The sequence below is a fragment of the Homo sapiens genome, chromosome 19 (assembly GCF_000001405.40).
Source record: "Homo sapiens chromosome 19, GRCh38.p14 Primary Assembly".
Lineage (NCBI taxonomy): Eukaryota > Metazoa > Chordata > Mammalia > Primates > Hominidae > Homo > Homo sapiens.
This window is the reverse complement of record NC_000019.10, coordinates 57,746,503-57,766,209: the sequence shown is the minus strand read 5'-3', so window position 1 is coordinate 57,766,209 and position 19,707 is coordinate 57,746,503. Positions and strand designations below refer to the sequence as shown.

The following is a 19,707-nucleotide window of genomic DNA, read 5'->3' as shown; positions in this document are numbered from 1 at the left end:
GCGCCACTGCACTCCAGCCAGAGCGAGACTCCATCTAAAAAATAAATAAATAAATAAATTAGCCGGGGGTGGTGGCGAGCGCCTGTAATCCCAGCTACTCGGGAGGCTGAGGCAGGAGAATTGCTTGAACCCGGGAGGAGGAGGTTGCAGTGAGCCAAGATTGCACCACTACACTCCAGCCTGGGCAACAGAGCAAGCCTCTGTATCAAAAAAAAAAAGCCTGATTCCATAACATCCCAAGGTCATGAGCTACACCAATAGCATAATACCTTTAAGTATAAATATTATCCATTTGATTTTTGGCCAGTTGACAAACTGGTGAGTGCTGTTAATTCAGCTAGCTGTGCTGATTTTACTTGAGGCAAGTGATGGCTTTTTTTTTTTTTTGCTTTTTTTTTTGAGACAGAGTCTCCCTCTGTTGCCCAGGCTGGAGTGCAGTGGCGCAGTCTAGGCTCACTGCAACCTCTGCCTCCCAGGTTCAAGCGATTCTCCTGCCTCAGCCTCCCAAGTAACTGGGACTACAGGCGCCTGCCACCACACCCGGCTAATGTTTGTATTTTTAGTAGAGACGGGGTTTCACCATATTGGCCAGGCTGGTCTTGAACTCCTGAACTTGTGATCCGCCCGCCTCAGCCTCCCAAAGTGCTGGGATTACAGGCATGAGCCACCGCACCCGGTGGGATTGCTCTTTCTGATGTCCACAAGAGACACAAGGTTGTAGCCTGCTCAGTATTTTCAAAATGTATCCTTTAGATCCGATCCATCTGTGAACCAGATAATATCAACATTTTTACATGATGTGTCCTATAAATCCTGTCTGGACACCAATTCTGTGAGTAGAATACAGTGATGAAATATTTCATCTGTTGTTTCAGGAAGTTGCACTGCAGGATTAAGAGTATTACAGATAGAGAGGGCAGCATATGAAGCAGACAGTGTAAGTTTGTCATAAGAAACCAATCTATTAATGGAAAATTGCTGTGTATTATGTGAATTCAAAAGAGCTTCTATAGAATGAGGAGCCTCCATTACAATTTTCTGAGTAATCGTAAGGAGCATGGCAGTGGCAAAAATGGCCCTCAGACAAAGAGGTCACCCATGTACTACATGGTCTAATTGCTGACTATAATAACCAATAGCCCTACATTGTCCTCCAGGTTTTTCAATTAGAACACCCAGGGAACTGCCATGCCTTACATGAACAAAAAATCGCAAAAAACAAAGAAAGGAAAAACAGCAGCTAATAATTTGCATGGGCCAAAGCGGGGGCTTGTAAGATTTTTCTTTATTTATTATTTGTCCTTCTGATGTCCAGTGTATGAGGTTAGGCTGATCTTTCTACAATGCATATAAAGTCTGTGGCATTAGAGAAAAATTGGACATCCAGCTATGACAGTAGTCAGCCAAGCCTAAAATCCTGTTGTCTTTTTTTTGTTTGTTTGTTTATTAGATGGAGTTTCGCTCTTGTTGCCCAGGGTGGAGTGTAATGCTGCGACCTCGGCTCACTGAAACCTCTGCCTCCTAGGTTCAAACAATTCTCCTGCCTCGGCCTCCCGAGTAGGTGGGATTACAGGCATGCACCACCACACCTGGCTAATTTTGTATTTTTAGTAGAGACGGAGTTTCTTCATGTTGGTCAGGCTGGTCTCGAACTCCTGACCTCAGGTGATCCATCCACCTCAGCCTCCCAAAGTGCTAGGATTACAGGCGTGGGCCACCGTGCCTGGCCAAAGCTGTCTTTTACTTTTTGGAGTAGGGTATCCAAGAAGTCCGGTTACTCAATCCAGATGTATCTGTAGTTTCTCCCTAGGAATTAATTGTTCCAAATATTTTAGTTCTGTAAGGCAAAACTGGAGTTTTTCTGTAGATAGCTCATAAAGCAAAACTGGAGTTTTTCTGTAGACAGCTTATGACCTCTTTTTGCTTTTTGTTCCAGGAAGTGCAAGGAGTCCTTTTTATAATTATGCAGATTGGAGAAGCATAACAAGAGAAATTTAGCTCAGCTAGGTCAGCCTTTAATATGTGTGAAAAATAAGTTGGGCTTTTGGTGTAACCTTGAGGCACAACAGTCCAGATATATTGATATCCAATCTAGGTAAAGGCAAACAAATACTGTCAGGGTGTATTGGTATGCCTAAAAAGCACTGCATAAATCAACACCAGTGACATATTCACAGTTTACATGTACATTGGATAAAAGAGTGTGGGGGTTTAGAACTACTGGTTGATGAGGAATCACAGTAGTATTTTTTTTTTTTTTGAGACAGAGTCTCACTCTGTTGCCCAGGCTGGAGTGCAGTGGAGTGATCTCAGCTCACTGCAAGCTCCGCCTCCCAGGTTCACACCATTCTCCTGCCTCAGCCTCCCGAGTAGCTGGGACTACAGGTACCCGCCACCACACCTGGCTAATTTTTTTTCTATTTTTAGTAGAGACGGGGTTTCACCGTGTTAGCCAGGATGGTCTCGATCTCCTGACCTCGTGATCTGCTCGCCTCGGCCTCCCAAAGTGTTGGGATTACAGGTGTGAGCCACTGCGCCCGGCCGAATCACAGTAGTATTAATAGTTCTCAAATCTTGTATAAATCTTCATCCTTTCCTGTGAGGTTTTGTGTCAGGAAGATGGGACTATTAGGACTGGTGGAAGGGATAATCAATCCCTTTTCAAGGTAATCTTTGGTTATTTGTTTTATTCCTATTATAGCTTCTTGTTTTGAGATGATGTCTCCCTATGTTGCCCAGGGTGGCTTCAAATTCCTGGGCTCAAGGGATCCTCCTGCCTCAGCATCCTGAGTAGTGTTACCTGAAAAATACCAGGTTCATTCACCTGGTGCATAACAAATGACTTTCCATGAGAACACAGGTTTTTGTTTGTTTGTTTGTTTGTTTTGAGACGGAGTTTCACTCTTGTCACCCAGGCTGGAGTGCAATGGCGGGATCTTGGCTCGCTGCAACCTCCGCCTCCCCAGTTGAAGTGAATCTCCTGCCTCAGCTTTTGGAGTAGCTGGGATTACAGGCACCCACCATCATGCCCAGTTAATTTTTGTATTTTTAGTAGAGGCAAGGTTTCACTATGTTGGCCAGGCTGCTCTTGAACTCCTCACCTCAGGTGATCCATCCGCCTCAGCCTCCCAAAGTGCTGGGATTACAGGCACGAGCCACCTCGCCCGGCCAGAGAACACAGGTATTGATCAATACTTTTATTACTTGGCTCAAGTAAAGAGGACACTGGGAGTATTCTCCAAAGCAGTGTCTCCCTGAGGACAAGTAACAGGAGAGTTTTATGGTATAATGGTGATGGGAGAAGGTGCATCAGTGCATGTAGAATTGGGGTCCCAGTTGCACAGATGCAGTGAGTCATACCAGCACATAGAAAGCATGTTATGGTAATGAAGCTATAGCTCCTTCCAGAGTGGAGACTTCAGCATGTTAATAAGGAAAGTTAACTTGGGTTCATCTACACTGCTTGGGGTCTGTCAGGAGCTGTTTTAGCCCAACAAGGTGACTGCATTCAAACCATGGTTTGGAGAGGTACAGGCAGAAGGGGAGGAGGCTGTAAAACAGGGTAATTGCTCAAGTTGATTATATTCCTATAATCCATGGAGATCCTCCCTGTCTGCTTACAGAGGCTAAAACTACAGGTGTGCAACACCGTACCCAGCTTATAGCTTCCTGCTTCAATGAATACTGTTTAATATTGGGAAGTGGTTTATTTGGAGCCACCTGTATCTGTACTGGTGTGGCCATTAAAATTTTCCCTAAGTCTGTAGACAATTGACACTGTCACCCGAAAAGCGGTCTTGATCCAGACCTCACGAGTGGGACTTTGTCTCAAAAAAAAGAAAAAAAAAAAAGAATTAACAGAATTGACCAAGTTGAGCCGGGCGCATTGGTTCATGCCTGTAATCCCAGCACTTTGGGAGACCAAGGCAGGTGGATCACAAGGTCAGGAGTTCAAGACCATCCTGCCTAACATGGTGAAACCCTGTCTCTACTAAAAATACAAAAAAATTAGCCAAGCGTGGTGGCAGGCGCCTGTAGTCCCAGCTACTCGGGAGGCTGAGGCAGGAGAATGGCATGAACCCGGGAGGTGGAGCTTGCAGTGAGCTGAGATCACACCGCTGCACTCCAGCCTGGGCGATAGAGTGAGACACCATCTCAAAAAAAAAAAAAAAGAAAAAAAAAAAAAACAAGAATTGACCAAGTTGAGGAAAAAATCTCAGAGCATGAAGGCCGGCTCTCTGAAACAACTCAGGGAAAATAAAAAACAGGCCTGGTGCGGTCGCTCACATCTGTAATTCCAGCACTTTGGGAGGCCAAGGCGGACAGATCAAGAGGTCAGGAGTTTGAGACCAGCCTGGCCAACATGGCGAAACCCCATCTCTACTAAAAATACAAAAATTAGCTGGGCGTGGTGGCAGGCGCCTGTAATCCTAGCTACTCGGGAGGCTGAGGCCGGAGAATTGCTTGAACCAGGGAGGCAGAGGTTGCAGTGAGCCGAGGTTGCGCCATTGCACTCCAGCCTGGGCGACAAGAGCAAGACTCAGTCTCAAAATAAAAAAAAGAAAAGAAAAGAAAAAACAACACAGAAGAAAACCTTCAAGAAATATGGGATTATATAAAGTGGCCTATGACTCTTTGGCATGCCTGAGAGACAGGGAGAGAAACCAAGCAACTTGGAAAACATATTTCAGGATATCACTCATGAAAATTTCTCCGACCTCGCTAGGGAGGCCAACATTAAAATTCAGGAAATGCAGAGAACCCCTGCAAAATACTACAAAGAAGACCATCCCTGAGACACATAGTCATCAGATCCTTCCAGGTCGAAATGAAACAGAAAATATTAAAGGCAGCTAGATAGAAGGGACAGGTCACCTATAAAGGGAACCCTGTCAGGCTAACAGCAGACCTGTCAGTAGAAATCCTACAAGACAAAAGAGACTGGATCCCATATTCAGCATTCTCTCTTTTTTTGATTTTTATTTTTGAGACGGAATCTCACTCTGTCACCCAGGCTGGAGTTCAGTGGTGCAATCTCGGTTTACTGCAACCTCTGCCTCCTGGGTTCAAGCAATTCTCATGCCTCAGCCTCCCAAACAGCTGGGACTACAGGCACATACCACCACAACTGGCTAATTTTTTGTATTATTATTATTTTTTTAGTAGAGACAGGGTTTTGCCATGTTGGTCAGGCTGGTCTCAACCTCCTGGCCTCAACCGATCTGCTCACCTTGGCCTCCCACAGTGCGGTTAATTCTTGTGATTGCATTATGAAATTCTTGTAGAGCATTTTTCAGCTCTATTAAGTCAGTCTGGTTCTTTCTTATAAAGGCCATTTTGTCTATCAGCTCCTGTATTATTTTATTGTAATCAATAGATTCCTTGGATTAGTTTTTGACTTTCTCCTGTATGTCAATGATCTTGATTCCTATCCATATTTTGGATTTTATTTATGTTATTTCAGCCATCTCAGTCTGGTTAGGAACTACTGCTGGGGAACTAGTGTGGTTGTTTTGAAGTAAGAAGACACTCTGGCTTTTTCGGTTACCAGAGTTCTTGCCCTGGTTCTTTCTCATCTTTGTTGGCTGATATTTCTTCAATCTTTGAAGTTGCTGAACTTTGGATGGACTTCTTTTTCTTTTATCCTTTTTGGTGCCCTTAAGAGTTTGTGGTATAATGTGGCTCCAGTCAACTGTCTTAATTTCTGGAGCATTTTAGGGGTCCAAGGCTCAGCTCAGGACTACTAGACTGTGTGCTCTAATACACGGGGCCTGGTATCAGGCATCCAGCTTTGTCCTATGATCCCTGGAGGTCAGAAACCTGCCATGCTGGAGGGTCAAGTTGTTCCCAGACTATTGGTAACAACACTCTGAAGGGCAGTGCCAGCCCCAGTGCTTAGGGTGGTGGCAGCAGGATCCATCCTTGTTCCCACATGCCAGCAGCAATGGCAGTGGTGGGGTGTACGTTTATTGGCTGCGATGGAGTGCTGGTGGGTGTAGGGGTGCCAGCCTCCACGTGAGTGTTCACAGTGCTGGTGGTGGCAGCACAACATGGGGGGGTAGGGAAGGGGGTTCCATTGATGTCCCAGTACACATTCACACCAGCAGTGGAGTTAATATGGAGGCAAGGTGCTGGCAGGTGCAGGACTGTTTGTACCCTCTGTGCATGCATTCACGTGGGTAGCAGCTGATACTGGTGAGTGGAGTGTGTCTGCTCGTCTGTGTAGTTTTGTGCTGGTCCAGGGGTGGGGTGCTGGCAGGTGCGGGCTGGCAGTCTCTGGGATCGCAAATGCTCTGACAGCAATGGTGGTGCAGCGAAAAGTTGGGGGGATGAGGTGTGCTCACACTGGCAGCTGTAGCATGACAGGGTGCACATGCACACGCATGCTGGTGGAAAAGAGAAGGCAAGGTCCACTTGCATGCACATATGCTGGCAAAGCAACGTCGGGGGTGGCCATAGGTGAATGCATGCAGGCAAAGTGTCTCAGAGAGGCCGCAGTTTTGGGAAGGTGCAGGTGGGCTGTTGCACGACTATGGGATTTATCAACTGCAGTTCACCAGCACAGGAGCTATGATGTACACCCCCATAAGGGACCCCACCTGGGCAACCGAGGTCGCACTGCAAGCAGGTGTGGGTAGCCTGGAGCCCTGGGAGAGGCCAGCTGACCAAGAGGTGCTCAGGTCCAACCATCCCCAACTTATCGGCAAGAACGCCCTGCACTGATCAGGTCTGACTTCCCTAGGGCTAAAGTCTGTTAGGGAAGCAAGGCGAACCTTGAAATATGGGCGTGTCTAGCTGTGCTCCACTAGAGATGCTCCCACCCCAAATCCTCTGGGCTCTGCACTGGCTGGAGTTCTGTCCCTACCACTTCTCTAAGCAGCTCTCCCTGCCAGCTCAAGTGTTCATGGGGGTCATTGAGTCTCCTGCTGGCAGGTTTCCAAAGTTTCTTTGTGCTGAGCTGCCTTTAGCTGGAGGAGCAGTAACACAAGTACCCCTGTGCCACCACCAATGGGACTATGTGGGGTCAGACCTGTAGCCAGCAGAGAACTGGGTGCTGCCCAAGGCTCATACTGACCACTTCCTGGCTACTCCCTGTTTGTTCAAGGCCCTAGGACTCTACAATCAGCAGGGGGCAAAACCAGCGAGGTTTATGTCCTTCCCTTCAGAGTGGCAAGCTCCTCCCCATCCTAGGCACATTCAGAAAAGCCATCTGCGAGCCAGAGCCTGTAGTGGGAAACCTTAGGAATCTATCTGGTGTTCTACTGCAGGTGAACTGGCACCCAAGCCATAAGACAAAATCCTTCTCACTCTTCCCTCCTGTTTTCACAAGCAGAGGTGTCTCTCCCCATGGTCCTCACCAGTCCAGGACTGTGGGACTCACAGGCTTGTGGTGAGTGCTGCCAGGCTTGGGACACTGTTCAGGGCAGTGGGCTTTCCTCTGGCCATCCAAGAGCCAAGGCCTGAAATTAGGGACCCTAAGAGCCTACTTGGTGCTCTACCCTACTGTGGCCAAACTGGTATCTAAGCGGTAAGACAAAGTCTTCTTTACTCTTCTGTTTCTCAAGCAGGAGTCATTCCTGAAAGCCATCACAGCTGGGAATGTGCTGGGTCACACCTGAAGCCAGCGTCTGAGTCTCACCAATGGCACATGGTGAGTACTGCCTGTGTATTACTGCTGATTATTCAGGGCCCAATGACTCTTTAGTCAGCAGGTGATGGATCCTCCCAGGACTGGATCCTCCCTTTCAAAGAAGTGGGTTCTCTTCTAGCCCAGGGTATATCTAGAAATGTCATTCAGAGCTAGGGCCTAGAATAGGGGCCTCAGCCTGGTGCCCTATCCTACTGTAGCTGAGCTGGAACAAGTTCCAAGACAAAGTTTTCTTTATTCTTCCCTCTCCTCTCCTCAAGTGGAGGGAAGGAGTCTCTCTTGGAGCTGTAAGCTGTGCGGCCTGGAGTTGGGAGAGGGGTATACATTCATCTACCATGTGAGTTGGGCACTGCACACCAAGGCATTCAAACAAGAGAAATGAAACCTTATCTATATGAAGAATTGCATTCAAATGTGCTTAACAAGCAGTTTTATTCCTAACAGACAAAAATAAGAAGCAATAACATATCCATAAGCAGATGAATTCGTATACAGTGATTTCCATAGCATGTCATATTCTAAGATAAAAAGAATGAACTACTCATATATCATGATTGATGAATGTCAAAATATGCATCCCTGCTATGTGAAATAAAAATAATAATAAAGAAAAAAGAAGAACATCTAAATAAATAGGGCTCAGGAGAGTACTCAGGTATGAAAAGAGGAAACATGTTATATCAGTCATATAAAATTCCAGAAAATTGACATTAATCTACTGTTAAGCAAATATTGTAATTCAGTGATTGTCTGGAGCATGGAGAGGCCAGAGAGAAAGATAGTATTTATTTTTTAAGAGACAGGGTCTTACTATGGGACCCAGGCTAGTCTCAAACTTCTTACCTCAAGCAATACTCCCACCCTGGACTCCCAAAGTGTTGGGATAACAGGCATGAGTCACCATGCCCAGTCTTATTACAGCTTTAAAAATTTAATTTGAAAGAACTATCTGGATTTAACATTATTTTTGACAAATAGGTTATGTGATTTTACATTGACTCTCCTAACTCTCATCACGCCCTAAGGGGGGCAATTAGCCTGTGTGATACCAAATACTTATGAGCCAGGAAGATCATTTCCACCTGATTAAATTGGAATGCTGGCTGGTTGCAAAGGCCACATCACTGGACTAAGAGATTTCCTTTCTCCCTATCCTCTTCCTCCTACTAATTCAGGGATGGCTTTTTGGTATGCAGCCCAGATAGGCTACAGAAATCCACAAAACCTTTAGATTTAGTCTGACAATGACCTAAGCTACACTAGATTCATAATTATGGAGGTCCTGAAAATTTCTGTACCTGCTTGTCCATCACAGACATAGTGACTGAATCATTGTGGATGCCTTTTTAAAAAAAGTATATCCCAACTATTCTGTTGCAGTCTGCTTCACTACCTAGAAATGCTAATTCTACAAAAATTATTTTTGGGCTGGGCATGGTGGCTCACACCTGTAATCCTAGTGCTTTCAAGGGCGTATGCTAGAGGATTACTTGAGGCCAGGAGTTGAACATCAGTCAGGGTAAAATAGCAAAACCCTATCTCTATAAAAAATTCTTAAATTACCTGGGCTAATCTCAGGTACTCGGGAGGCTGAGGCAGGAGGATCACTTGAGCCCAGGAGTTTGAGGCCGCAGTGAGGTATGACCATGCCAGTGTATTCCAGCCTGAGTTTCAGAGTGACATCATTTCCCTAAAAAAATAAAAATTAAAGAATTATGATTTCTTTCTCCAGGCTTATAACGTAGGACACTATCCTACAGAATTCTGGACTTCAGGACACATGAATGCACTGTAGGACTTGAGAACAGATTTCCCTCACCAGTACTGAGCAGAATGCAATATCCATTATAAACAAGAGAATAATTTTGTGCTGTTCTCAGAAGCACCAAAGTGTGTCACTAAAACTGTCCCCTACTCAGGTTGATTTATGAAAACACATATTATTGCACTATTTCATCTAAAAATAAAGATCACAAAGCCCTGAAGTCTTTATTTGGAGGCCTTAGGCAGCCATCCAAACTAGGCCACAAATGCAGAGCTATATTCTGCCTTCATACTGTTCCCTAAGAGTCACACAGTTTAGTAACCCCAACAAACTTTCATGGTACCAGAATCCTTCATGGTACCAGAACCATGTTGTATCTAAGCCACACAATGCAGTGAGTATACAATTCACACAATACAGTCAATACAATTCCCAAGATTGAAGGAAGCTTAAATAAGGACTTCATCATAGCAGAAACCAGAACAATGAGAGGCAGCTTGTACTTGGGTTGGTGAGTTAAGAGGCTGGAAAATTCCATTTTAAGAATCATGACAATCATGAGATTCCTAGGAAAGACAGCCCATCTTGTCAAGTAATCAGAAAAATTCTCTAGGCCAAGCTGGTCCAACCCGCAGCTTGTGGGCCGCATGTATCTCAGGACAGCTTTGAATGCAGCCCAACACAAATTTGTAAACTTTCTTAAAACATTATGAGGGTTTTTGTGTGATTTTTTAAAAAAGTTCATCAGCTATCATTAGTGTTAATGTATTTCATATGCGGCACAAGACAATTCTTCTTCCAATGTGGACCAGGAAAGCCAAAAGATTGGACACTTCTGCTCTAGGCCAGAACTGAGTCAGGTCCATGGCCTAACTCTTCATAGAGAAATGAGAAAGGAACGAGTGCAGAGGCTACTCAAAAATACCACTGCTGAATGGGAGACAACTTGAACTTTTTTTCTGGAATATGATGGAGTGCATGAGTGATGCACTGTAGGTACCTGCCAAGTGGTAGAGATGAAATGGCTTTTGCCAGAGACCTAAGAATGAAATAAATCTGGCAAGGACATACGCAGGATAAGAAATGCAATACAGCTCCCATATACCTGGAATTTATGCAGCTACTGGACATATGACATTCAATATAGGTTGATGGTGTCCTCATAAGGGCTCTCTCCCACAGTTACACTGGACAAGAAGTAATATTCCCACACATCTATGTTATTTTTCTCCTGTCAACATTCTGGTATCCAGTGAAAGAAGAGTGAAGCCCTCGCAAATGCTCTGCACTCAAAAGGCACTTCCACAGCAGGAGCTTGTCTGTGCATAATATGTTAGACATTTAGATAAAGAATGTGCCATATTTGTCACACCATAAAGCCTTGATCCAGTGTGAACTCTGATTTTGAAGGAGCATAGAGGTTTGACTAATCAATTTTCCAAATTTACTTCACTGAGAAGGGCTTTCTCTAGTGTGAACTTGCAGGGCAGAGCTTCTAGTGAATGTCTTTCCATATTTGCTACACTGTTGAGGCCTTTCTCTAGCATGAACTCTCCTGTGTTTAATGAAACCAGAGTTTTCCCACAAAGGATTTTCTACTCGCTGCTCTCATAAGGCTTTGTCCAGTGTGAACTCTTACGAACATGGAGCGCAGAGCTGTACGGAAATGATTTCTCACATTTATTATGTGAGAAATTATTATGTGGCCTTTCTCCATTGTAAATTATCTGATGAATAGTAATGCAGCTCTTCTGGCTAAATAATTTTACAAATTCCTTACAGTCATATGGCCTTTCTCAACTGTGAACTCAGTAGTGTTCAGTGAGGTGGGACTTCTTGTTAGGTAATTTCCCAAATTCCCCATAACTATAGGGTCTTTCTCCAGTGTGACCCTTCTGGTATTTGGTGAGGCAAAACTTCTATGTACAGGATTTCATACATTCTCTACACTCAGAAAGCCTTTCCCCAGTGTGATCTTGCTATTGTTGAATGAGGCCAACCTTTTGGCTAGATGATTTTGCACATTCTCCATACTCATAAGTGCTTTCCAGTGTGATCTCACGAATGTTGAATGAGGGTGCTCTTTTTACCAACAGATCTGCCAAATTTTCAACATTCATGATGTCTTTCTCCCGTGTGAACTCGTTGATGTTTAATGAGGTTTCCCTTTTGACGAAAACACTTTCCACATTCTCCACACTCATGTGGCCTTTCTCCAGAGTGAATCTGCTGATGTCGAATGAGACTGCCCTTTTGATGAAAACATTTCCCACATTCTCCACACTCATGTGGCCTTTCTCCAGAGTGGATCTGCTGATGTTGAATGAGACTGCCCTTTTGATGAAAACATTTCCCACATTCTCTACACTCATATGGCCTTTCTCCAGTGTGAACTCTCTGGTGTTCAGTGAGGTGTGACTTGTACCTAAATGATTTCCTACATTCTTTACACTCATAGGGTCTTTCTCCAGTGTGAACTCTCTGGTGTTCCTTTAGGTGGGAGTTGCTCCTAAATAACTTCCCACATGCCGTACACTCAAAAGGTCTTTCTCCAGTGTGAACTCGCTGATGCTGAATGAGGTTGCACTTGTGATTAAACGATTTCCCACATTCTCCACACTGATAAGGTCTTTCTCCAGTGTGAACTCGCTGGTGGTGAACAAGGCTGCGCTTATGGCTAAAAGATTTCCCACATTCGTCACATTCATAAGGTCTTTCTCCAGTGTGAACTCGCTGATGGTCAACAAGACTGTGCTTATGACTAAAAGATTTATCACATTCTCCACACTCATAAGGTCTTTCTCCAGTGTGAACTCTCTGGTGTTCAGTGAGGTGGGCCTTATACCAAAATGATTCATCACATTGTCCACACTGATAAGGTCTTTTTCCAGTGCGAACTCCCTGATGATTATTAAAACTATTACTTTTGCTAGTGAATTTCCCAGAATCACTGCATACATAAGGTCCTTCTCTAGGGAGAAGTCTCTGGTGAAGGACAAGTGAGTGTTTGTTGCTAAACGGTATTGTGGACTCTCCACAGATGTAATGAGTTTTTCCACCCTGAAGGGGTATCCCATGCTTAGTTTCAAAGTTTGACTTCCCTGAAGTGTGAATGTCCTCTTGTTGGAGTAATCTCAAGCTGGACAAAAAGTCTTTCCCAACCTCATGAAAGATAAATGGCTCATGTGACATATGGAATTTACAGTTCTTTACAAAAGATGTTCCCTTGGCATTGCTTCTGTACGATTTCTCTCCAATGTGCTGCTTCTGGTCTTGATGATGGTTTGCATCGTCATCCAATTTTTTTTCATATGCCCCAAACCCATTCAATTTCTGATTGTGTTGTGTTCCCTGGTGTAAGATATCTCCCAGGAGAGGGCCACACATTCCCCAGAGGTGGACCTTCTTGGTACATACACCTGTCCAATGTGTCCTGAGTGGGGACTCCTGTTGTATAGAAAGGGTCTGCTTAGAAGGTGTCTCGTCTTTTGCTCCATACCAACAACCTAAAAGAAATAAAATGCTGGTAAAATGCAAGGTACTTCCGAAGGGAAGTATTACTAAGCCATACCTGATCAACAGCTGCTTTGTTGTACTTATATTTACTTGGGCCTAGACATATCCTTTTATATAGCACCCACATGCTTTATGAAGGTCCTTTAGATGTTTGCACAGGAAGGAATTGCCTCTGCTTCCTGTAGTGCATGTATTGTTGGCTCCTTCACATCATGTGGCCCCCTACATTCTGTAATCATTCTAACCCAGTAATATGAAGAAGACTTATCTTCAACCTAAAGGCAACATTCTGTTTCTGCAATTATTTCCATGGAGTAATACCTCTGTTAGATACACTTGTTTGTGTGTCACAGGAAAATACGAGTACAACAAAGATACACTTGTTTGTGTGTCACAAGAAAATACGAGTACAACAAAGCAGCTGTTGGTCAGGTATGGCTTAGCAATGTGTACACACTTCCTAATACAAAATTGATATGCCAGTATTGGAGTCCACTGCAGATGGAAATGTGAGAAAAATGGGTCCAGGTGGGATCCAGAGATGTGAAGATTAGTCCTGGGCTGGCATCAGAGGAGAAGTGACAGGGTATAGAACGGTGAAGTCTGAAACTCTCAAGAATGGGGAAGACAGAAACAGCATATGGCTCGTCATGTTGCCAGGTAAATACTTGTGAAATCAGAGAGCTTCTAGCATGACTTTCCTAAATCCCTAATGTTATGTCTTCCTCCAGGGTGTTACTCCTCAGAGGTGGCCTCCCTCTGGGCCCATCATGCTGAGCCTGGGTTTAGCTGCAACTTCTGGATCACTGAGAACTCTCAGTCCCACTGCAAAGATATACATGGAATTTACATGAGACATGGATGACATAAAGAATAAGAGAAAGACAAGAGAGAAGAATAGCCAACCAACAGTTCAGAAAAAATCAGCACATGATAGCCCATAGGAAAGAAAACTAAATACTACAAAGATAATTTTTGGCCAGGTGCAGTGGCTCACACCTATAATCCCAGCACTGTGGGAGGCCAAACTGGAAGGACTACTTGACCCTAGGAGTTCAAGACCAACCTGGGTAACATAATGAGACACCATCTCTACAAAACAAACAAATGAGGCCGGGCACGGTGGCTCACGCCTGTAATCCCAGCTCCGGGAGCCCGAGGCGGGTGGATCACAAGGTCAGGAGATCGAGACCATCCTGGCTAACACGGTGAAACCCCGTCTCTACTAAAAATACAAAAAAATTAGCCAGGTGTGGCAGCATGTGCCTGTGGTCCCAGCTACTCGGGAGGCTGAGGCAGGAGAATGGTGTGAACCTGGGAAGCGGAGGTTGCAGTGAGCCGAGATTGGGCCACTGCACTCCAGCCTGGTGGCAGAGCAAGACTCCGTCTCAAAAAAAAAAAAAAAAAAAAAACAAAACCAAAAATACAAATGAACAAAAATTAGTTGGGCAGGGTGGCATGCTCCTGTAGTCCCAGCTACTTAGGAGTCAGGTGGGAGGATTACTTGAGCCCAGAAGGCTGAGAATGAAGTGAACCATGATTGCATCAGTAGACTGCAGCCTGGATGACAGTGAAACCCTGTCTGAAAAAAAAAAAAACAAAAAAGCAAAAAATACTCAGGGCACACTGGCTCATGCTTGTAATCCCAGCACTTTGGGAGGATGAGGTGGGAGGATCACGTGAGGTTGGGAGTCAGAGACCAGCCTGGGCAATACAGCCAGACCTCATCTCTATTAAAAATAAAAATAAAAATTAGTGGGATGTGATGGCAGAAGCCTCTAGTCCGAGTTACTCTAGAGGCTGAGGAAGGAGGATTGCTTGAGCCTGGGAGATTGAGGCTACAGTGAGCTATGACTGCAGCACTGCACTCCAGCCTGGGTGACAGAGTTAAGACTTTGAAAACAAAACAGAACAAAACAAAACAAACAAGATAATTTATAAGGAGGGTCTTGCAAGAACAACCTATGGTGCATGTAAGTATTGAGAACATCAGTGATGGGAGGAATTCCTAGCACAGGCAGTCATGAATAAATGTCACCTAGAGCAAGGAAGTAGAACCTGTGCATACCAGTCTCTGATCTAGAAAAATTACTCAACAGCCAGAGGGCAAGCAAGGTGGGATGCATTATGGTGCCTGTAAAGCTCCTTCTCTGGGAGCTTGCAGCAAAGCAGGTGTTGGGGCTGCTCAAGGAGAGAGAGGGCAGTGCACACACCTCAGTCCTACATACCACATAGAACCTACCCAGGGAACTAACAGAGGAACCTGTGCCCAGGCTCCTGAAGTGAGGAAAACAGTCTTGCCATGGGGAAAAAAGATGGGGACAGACAGACAATAGCTGAGGTCATAGAGAAGAGTGTGAGTGCCTTACCTAGAGAAGATATAAGTGTCAGGTTCTCCAGCATCACGTCATGATAAAGGCATCTCTGAGCCTCACTAAGGAGACTCCATTCCTCCTGGGAAAAGTTCACAGCCACATCTTCAAAGGTCACAGTGCCCTGCCGTGATGATGACAGATGAAACCACAAACACTCCATATGCTCATCCACTTATCCACCCTTGCCCTTCCTCCTCCCAAGGTCCTAAACTACAAGGAGAAACTAGGCCCACTGGTGTCACTATCTTCTCATGGGCTCACTGGTCATGGTGTACAGCCATCAGCCACAAGAAGTGGGTGAAACAATAGATTTCTATGTTTTGGTGCTGATATAAAGCGGTCCATAACTTCCTGATAGCCAATGCCCCTGGTAGAGATGAAGTCATGTAAATCCCAATGCAGCATCCTCAGTCTATCAGACATACTCCTTCTCTAAATACACATCATTCCTTTTTTTTGCTTTTTTTTTTTTTGAGATAGGGTTTCACTCCTGTTGCCCAGGCTGGAGTGCAATGACATAATCTCAGCTCTCTGCAACCTCTGTCTACTGGGCTCGAGTAATTCTCTGGCCTTAGCCTCCCGAGTAGATGGGATACAGGTGCATGCCACCGTGCCGGCTAATTTTTTTTTTTTTTTGTATTTTTGGTAGAGAGAAGGTTTCACTATGTTGCCCAGGTTAGTCTCGAAATCCTGAGCTCAAGTGATTCACCCACCTCAGCCTCCCAATGTGCTGGGATTACAGGCATGAGCCACTGTGCTAGGCCAAAATACACATCATTCTTTAGACTGCACAGACACATGCCCATGGCCACCCCCACTAAACTGCCTCCCACATTGGCCTCTGCCTCCCCACAAGTTAAAGTATGTTTATACCCTCTTCTTCCTTCTACCAGTAAGGGTGAGATTTTCACCTTACAGTTATATTAATGACCAAACACATGACATCAAACACTAGACAGGTGCTATAAATATGTTTAAAAATCAAATACACTCAAAGTCTAGAAGAGGACATCCCTCATCATGAAGGACCACATAGGGGTTGCACTATGGATAAGAGTGCATAACCAGAAACTATGATATGCAAGCTTTTAAAATGAAGAGGGTGTGATGACCCCCGAATCCCTTAGGAGGATGCAACTGGCTTGTTTGAATAACACTGTGGGTAAGGATAAAATTGAAACTCACTACAAAGTATAATAACCAGGAATTCTGCCTGGTCTCCCTAATAAAAGGATTATTAGGCCATGCTGATTATTATCTAAAAGAGCCTAGTGGGAAGGGAATTGGTTCTCAGGTCATTTGAGGTCATACCAATATCACTAGATGTCAAGGTGACACATCATATTGGGCCTCCATTTTTGGCTTTATACCACAATATGGCTGACAGCATCCAATATGCTTCACATATTCAAACAGGATCCAATAATAACACAAAATGACCATGGTTCCCATTAGCAGTGGTAGTCCCTAATAATTCTATGAATGCCTCCTTGCATTACTCCACATCCATGCAAAACCACATGTAACTTCAGATATCCATGGTCTTATTCCACTTCTGTGCTACAATGGCTTACCCTTCAGCAACACGGACCAACTTCCATTCACCTAATACCATTGCCATTTAAAGAGCAGTCCTGGATGGGCATGGTGGTTCACACCTGTAATCCTAGCACTTTGGGAGGCTGAGGCAGGTGGATCATGAGGTCAGGAGTTCGAGACCAGCCTGGCCAATATGGTGAAATCACATCTCTACTAAAAATACAAAAAAAAATTAGTGGGGCGTGGTGGCACGCAACTGTATTCTCAGCTACCGGGAGGCTGAGGCAGGAGAATCACTTGAACCTGGGAGGTGGAGGTTGTAATGAGCCAAGATTGCGCCACTATACACCAGTACACCAGCCTGGGCGACAGAGTGAGACACCGTCTCAAAAAAAAAAAAAGTCCTGTTTTTAATCCATTTAAGGCCCAAGACCTACTGTCACAGATGACCATATTTCTCCCTGAGCATATTCAGCACGTGTAATGAAACCCCCCACACACTACCAAAGTCATCTCAAATCTTGATTGCACAGAGTGGTGAATAAGTACCACTCTGGCCTAAGTGTCATCTTCCCTCAATTTGACTACACTTCTGCATATATCTATTTCATGTCTATTCTCTCCTTGAAAGTCTATGTCCCCTGTCAAATTATGCTGACAGGTATACCCTACCATCATGGTCACTTACCTACCTCTCCAGTGTTTAGGAAGCCCAGTAACATTACCCAGGGACCCAAGCAACAGATGCAGTCCTCATCATTCAACCACTGCTTTCTGGTCCCCTAAAAGATTTACCACCAGAATCTGAAGTGTGTTCTCCTTAATGTGACCCATGGCTCACTCACCATAGCATACACATTAGCTACCATATATTAGATGTCTCCAGTGTCAATCCCTTTCCAGATACCCCAACCTGCATGTCCATAGCCATTTGATGCCTACACTTATTCGTCTCTGACTCTTCATATGGCCATAACAGTCATCCTGATATTTGCATAATATTCTAATTATGTTTATTACCAACATGCTCATCTCAGCTGATGCAGCTTCCATAGCTACAGCTACTAAGACCAAAAACCTCGGGATCCTGATTGCTCTCTTCATGCCCTTACTTTGTGTATTAGGAAACCTAGATGCTGTAACAAAATATCAACTTTGAATCCAGCCACATCTCCTTAGCCATGAATCTTAGTCTGTTAACCCTCACTTGGATTACGGCAAAAGCCTCAACTCTCATCTTATTTCCTCCTCTCTCAACCCCACAGTCTGTTCTCCACTGTACAGCCAGAGGAGACTACAGCCAGATGAAACTGTGGCAACATCACCTCCTCCCTCTGGTCAGTTTCACCTCTAAGCATTTCACATCCTGGTACTAACTCCTGGGTTAACCTTCCAAGTATGTTTATACTGGTTGACAGAAATGGGAATACCTCCATATATCCTGTGTCACAGACTTTGGATCCTGGGTTTAAGGTTCCTCCAGGGTTCCCATATCAAAAAACTTAAAAAAAAAAAAAAAAAGGTACCTAAGAATCCCAGGACATCCCAATCTAAAGAGCATGTGGATAGGAGTTAGGGCCAGTGAGGGAATAACACCCTCCGCTTCCCTGCGGAGGTTCTGCAAGTGCTTCTGCAGCCAGGAGTTCCTGAGAGGAGAGGCACAAGCTACAAGAATGTATCCCTGATGAGATTTGATAAGCTCAGGCCTCCCTGAACTCTTTCTTGGCCCTGTAACTAGGTAAACGCGAGTTGGTTGTCTGAACTGAGCGCCTCAGTACAAAATGTCATCTCTTAGCACCTATCTGATCTGTAGAGGTTGAACAAGAATTCAACCTCCCAGGGCCCAAAAGTCATCCCCTGTGTTCTTTTTCGACTGGACTTTGGGAAACCTTTAAAGCCTGGACATTGATCTTTTCCTTCCTTTGTTGGAAGCTGTCCATGGCTTCCAGCGTTCTCAGGGTGAATACACGGTCCTCAGCCTGCTCTTCCAGGAGGAGCTCTGCCTCACACTTTGCTCCCGACAGGTGCCTGTGGACCCTAGGTTACGATCCTCTCGGCTCAGTTCATCTCCAGGCCTTTGCCTGCACCGCTCCCTGTGCCTGTAGCTCTCCTGAGCGCATCCCGCGGGTGTCAAAAACGGGGGCCCATAGAGAGCGCCTCAGTGTCCCGACGCCGGGTTCAGGGTGTAAAACCTTGAGCAGGCGCCGCTTCCTCTCTGCTTTTGGACTTAGGTAAAGATGAGGTGACCTGAGGGCACGGAAGACGCCACAATTACCTGAGCCGGGGGCCTCAGCGCGGCCGCCGCCATCCGACTGGGTGGGGAAAGCGGGGTCGAAAGGAGGGGGCGAGCAGTGCAGGTACCCGGGCACGGTGGTCCCGATCCCGGCCTTGGTGCGGGTCACGCCTAGCGCCTTTAAGGAGCTGCAGAGCAGCCTCTGTGCAGTCGGGACAACGTCTCGTCTCCACCTTCTGGGTTCAGTCACTTCTACACGACCCAACACTCCGCGGTCTCTCACTGGAAAATACACCCAACACCAATCAAAATGGCCACTAGTAGAGGACGCCGGAAGTCCCACCTTTATACTGTTTCCGCGGAAACGCCTTTATTTTGAGCCCTCATTGGCTCTGACGCGCTGTCATTCGACGCAGAGATTTCTGGGTTATGTAGTTTCCTCAGGTTCCAAGACAGTTCCAAGGCGGTAAAGAAGGCCTTCTCAGAGGCGCTTGATTGCACAGAGTGGTGAATAAACACTACTCTGGCCTAAGTGTCATCTTCCCTCAATTTGACTATACTTCTGCATGTATCTATTTCATGTCTATTTTCTCCTTGAAAGTCTATATCCCCTGTCAAACTATGCTGTCAG

General features: G+C 45.2%; 1 protein-coding gene across 5 annotated transcripts, besides 1 other annotated feature; it reads right to left on the bottom strand.

Moving 5' to 3' along the window:
* On the bottom strand, window positions 8,062-19,395 carry ZNF776 (zinc finger protein 776). 5 transcript variants are annotated; one of them, NR_145327.2, is made up of 4 exons: window positions 19,119-19,395; window positions 15,299-15,425; window positions 10,519-12,919; window positions 8,062-9,338 (listed from the first exon to the last, which is right to left on the bottom strand). NR_145327.2 is itself a non-coding variant. In NM_001348007.2 (4 exons), exons 1-4 carry the CDS (start codon window positions 19,149-19,151, stop codon window positions 9,159-9,161), a joined length of 429 nt encoding a protein of 142 aa, NP_001334936.1. In that variant the 5' UTR covers window positions 19,152-19,395; the 3' UTR covers window positions 8,062-9,158. The 5 variants fall into 5 exon arrangements, 2 of the variants coding, with proteins under 2 accessions (NP_001334936.1, NP_775903.3); NR_145326.2 differs by having other exon boundaries at window positions 11,414-12,919; NM_001348007.2 differs by having other exon boundaries at window positions 12,831-12,919.
* Window positions 19,334-19,383: an enhancer, noted in NCBI's record as "active region_15157". NCBI's record gives its function as "activates an Ori minimal core promoter by ATAC-STARR-seq in GM12878 lymphoblastoid cells {active_cell/tissue: GM12878}" and the evidence as "EXISTENCE:reporter gene assay evidence [ECO:0000049][PMID:35858748]".

Bases quoted from the DNA above. Each gene is read 5' to 3' on its own strand.
- ZNF776 (NM_173632.4), bottom strand. From the start codon at position 19,151: ATGGCGGCGGCCGCGCTGAGGCCCCCGGCTCAG. The intron at 15,426-19,118 runs GTAATTGTGGCG...TCATCACGGCAG, and splicing joins CGCTGAGGCCCCCGGCTCAG to GGCACTGTGACCTTTGAAGA. The intron at 12,920-15,298 runs GTAAGGCACTCA...TATTTCTTTTAG, and splicing joins GACACTTATATCTTCTCTAG to GTTGTTGGTATGGAGCAAAA.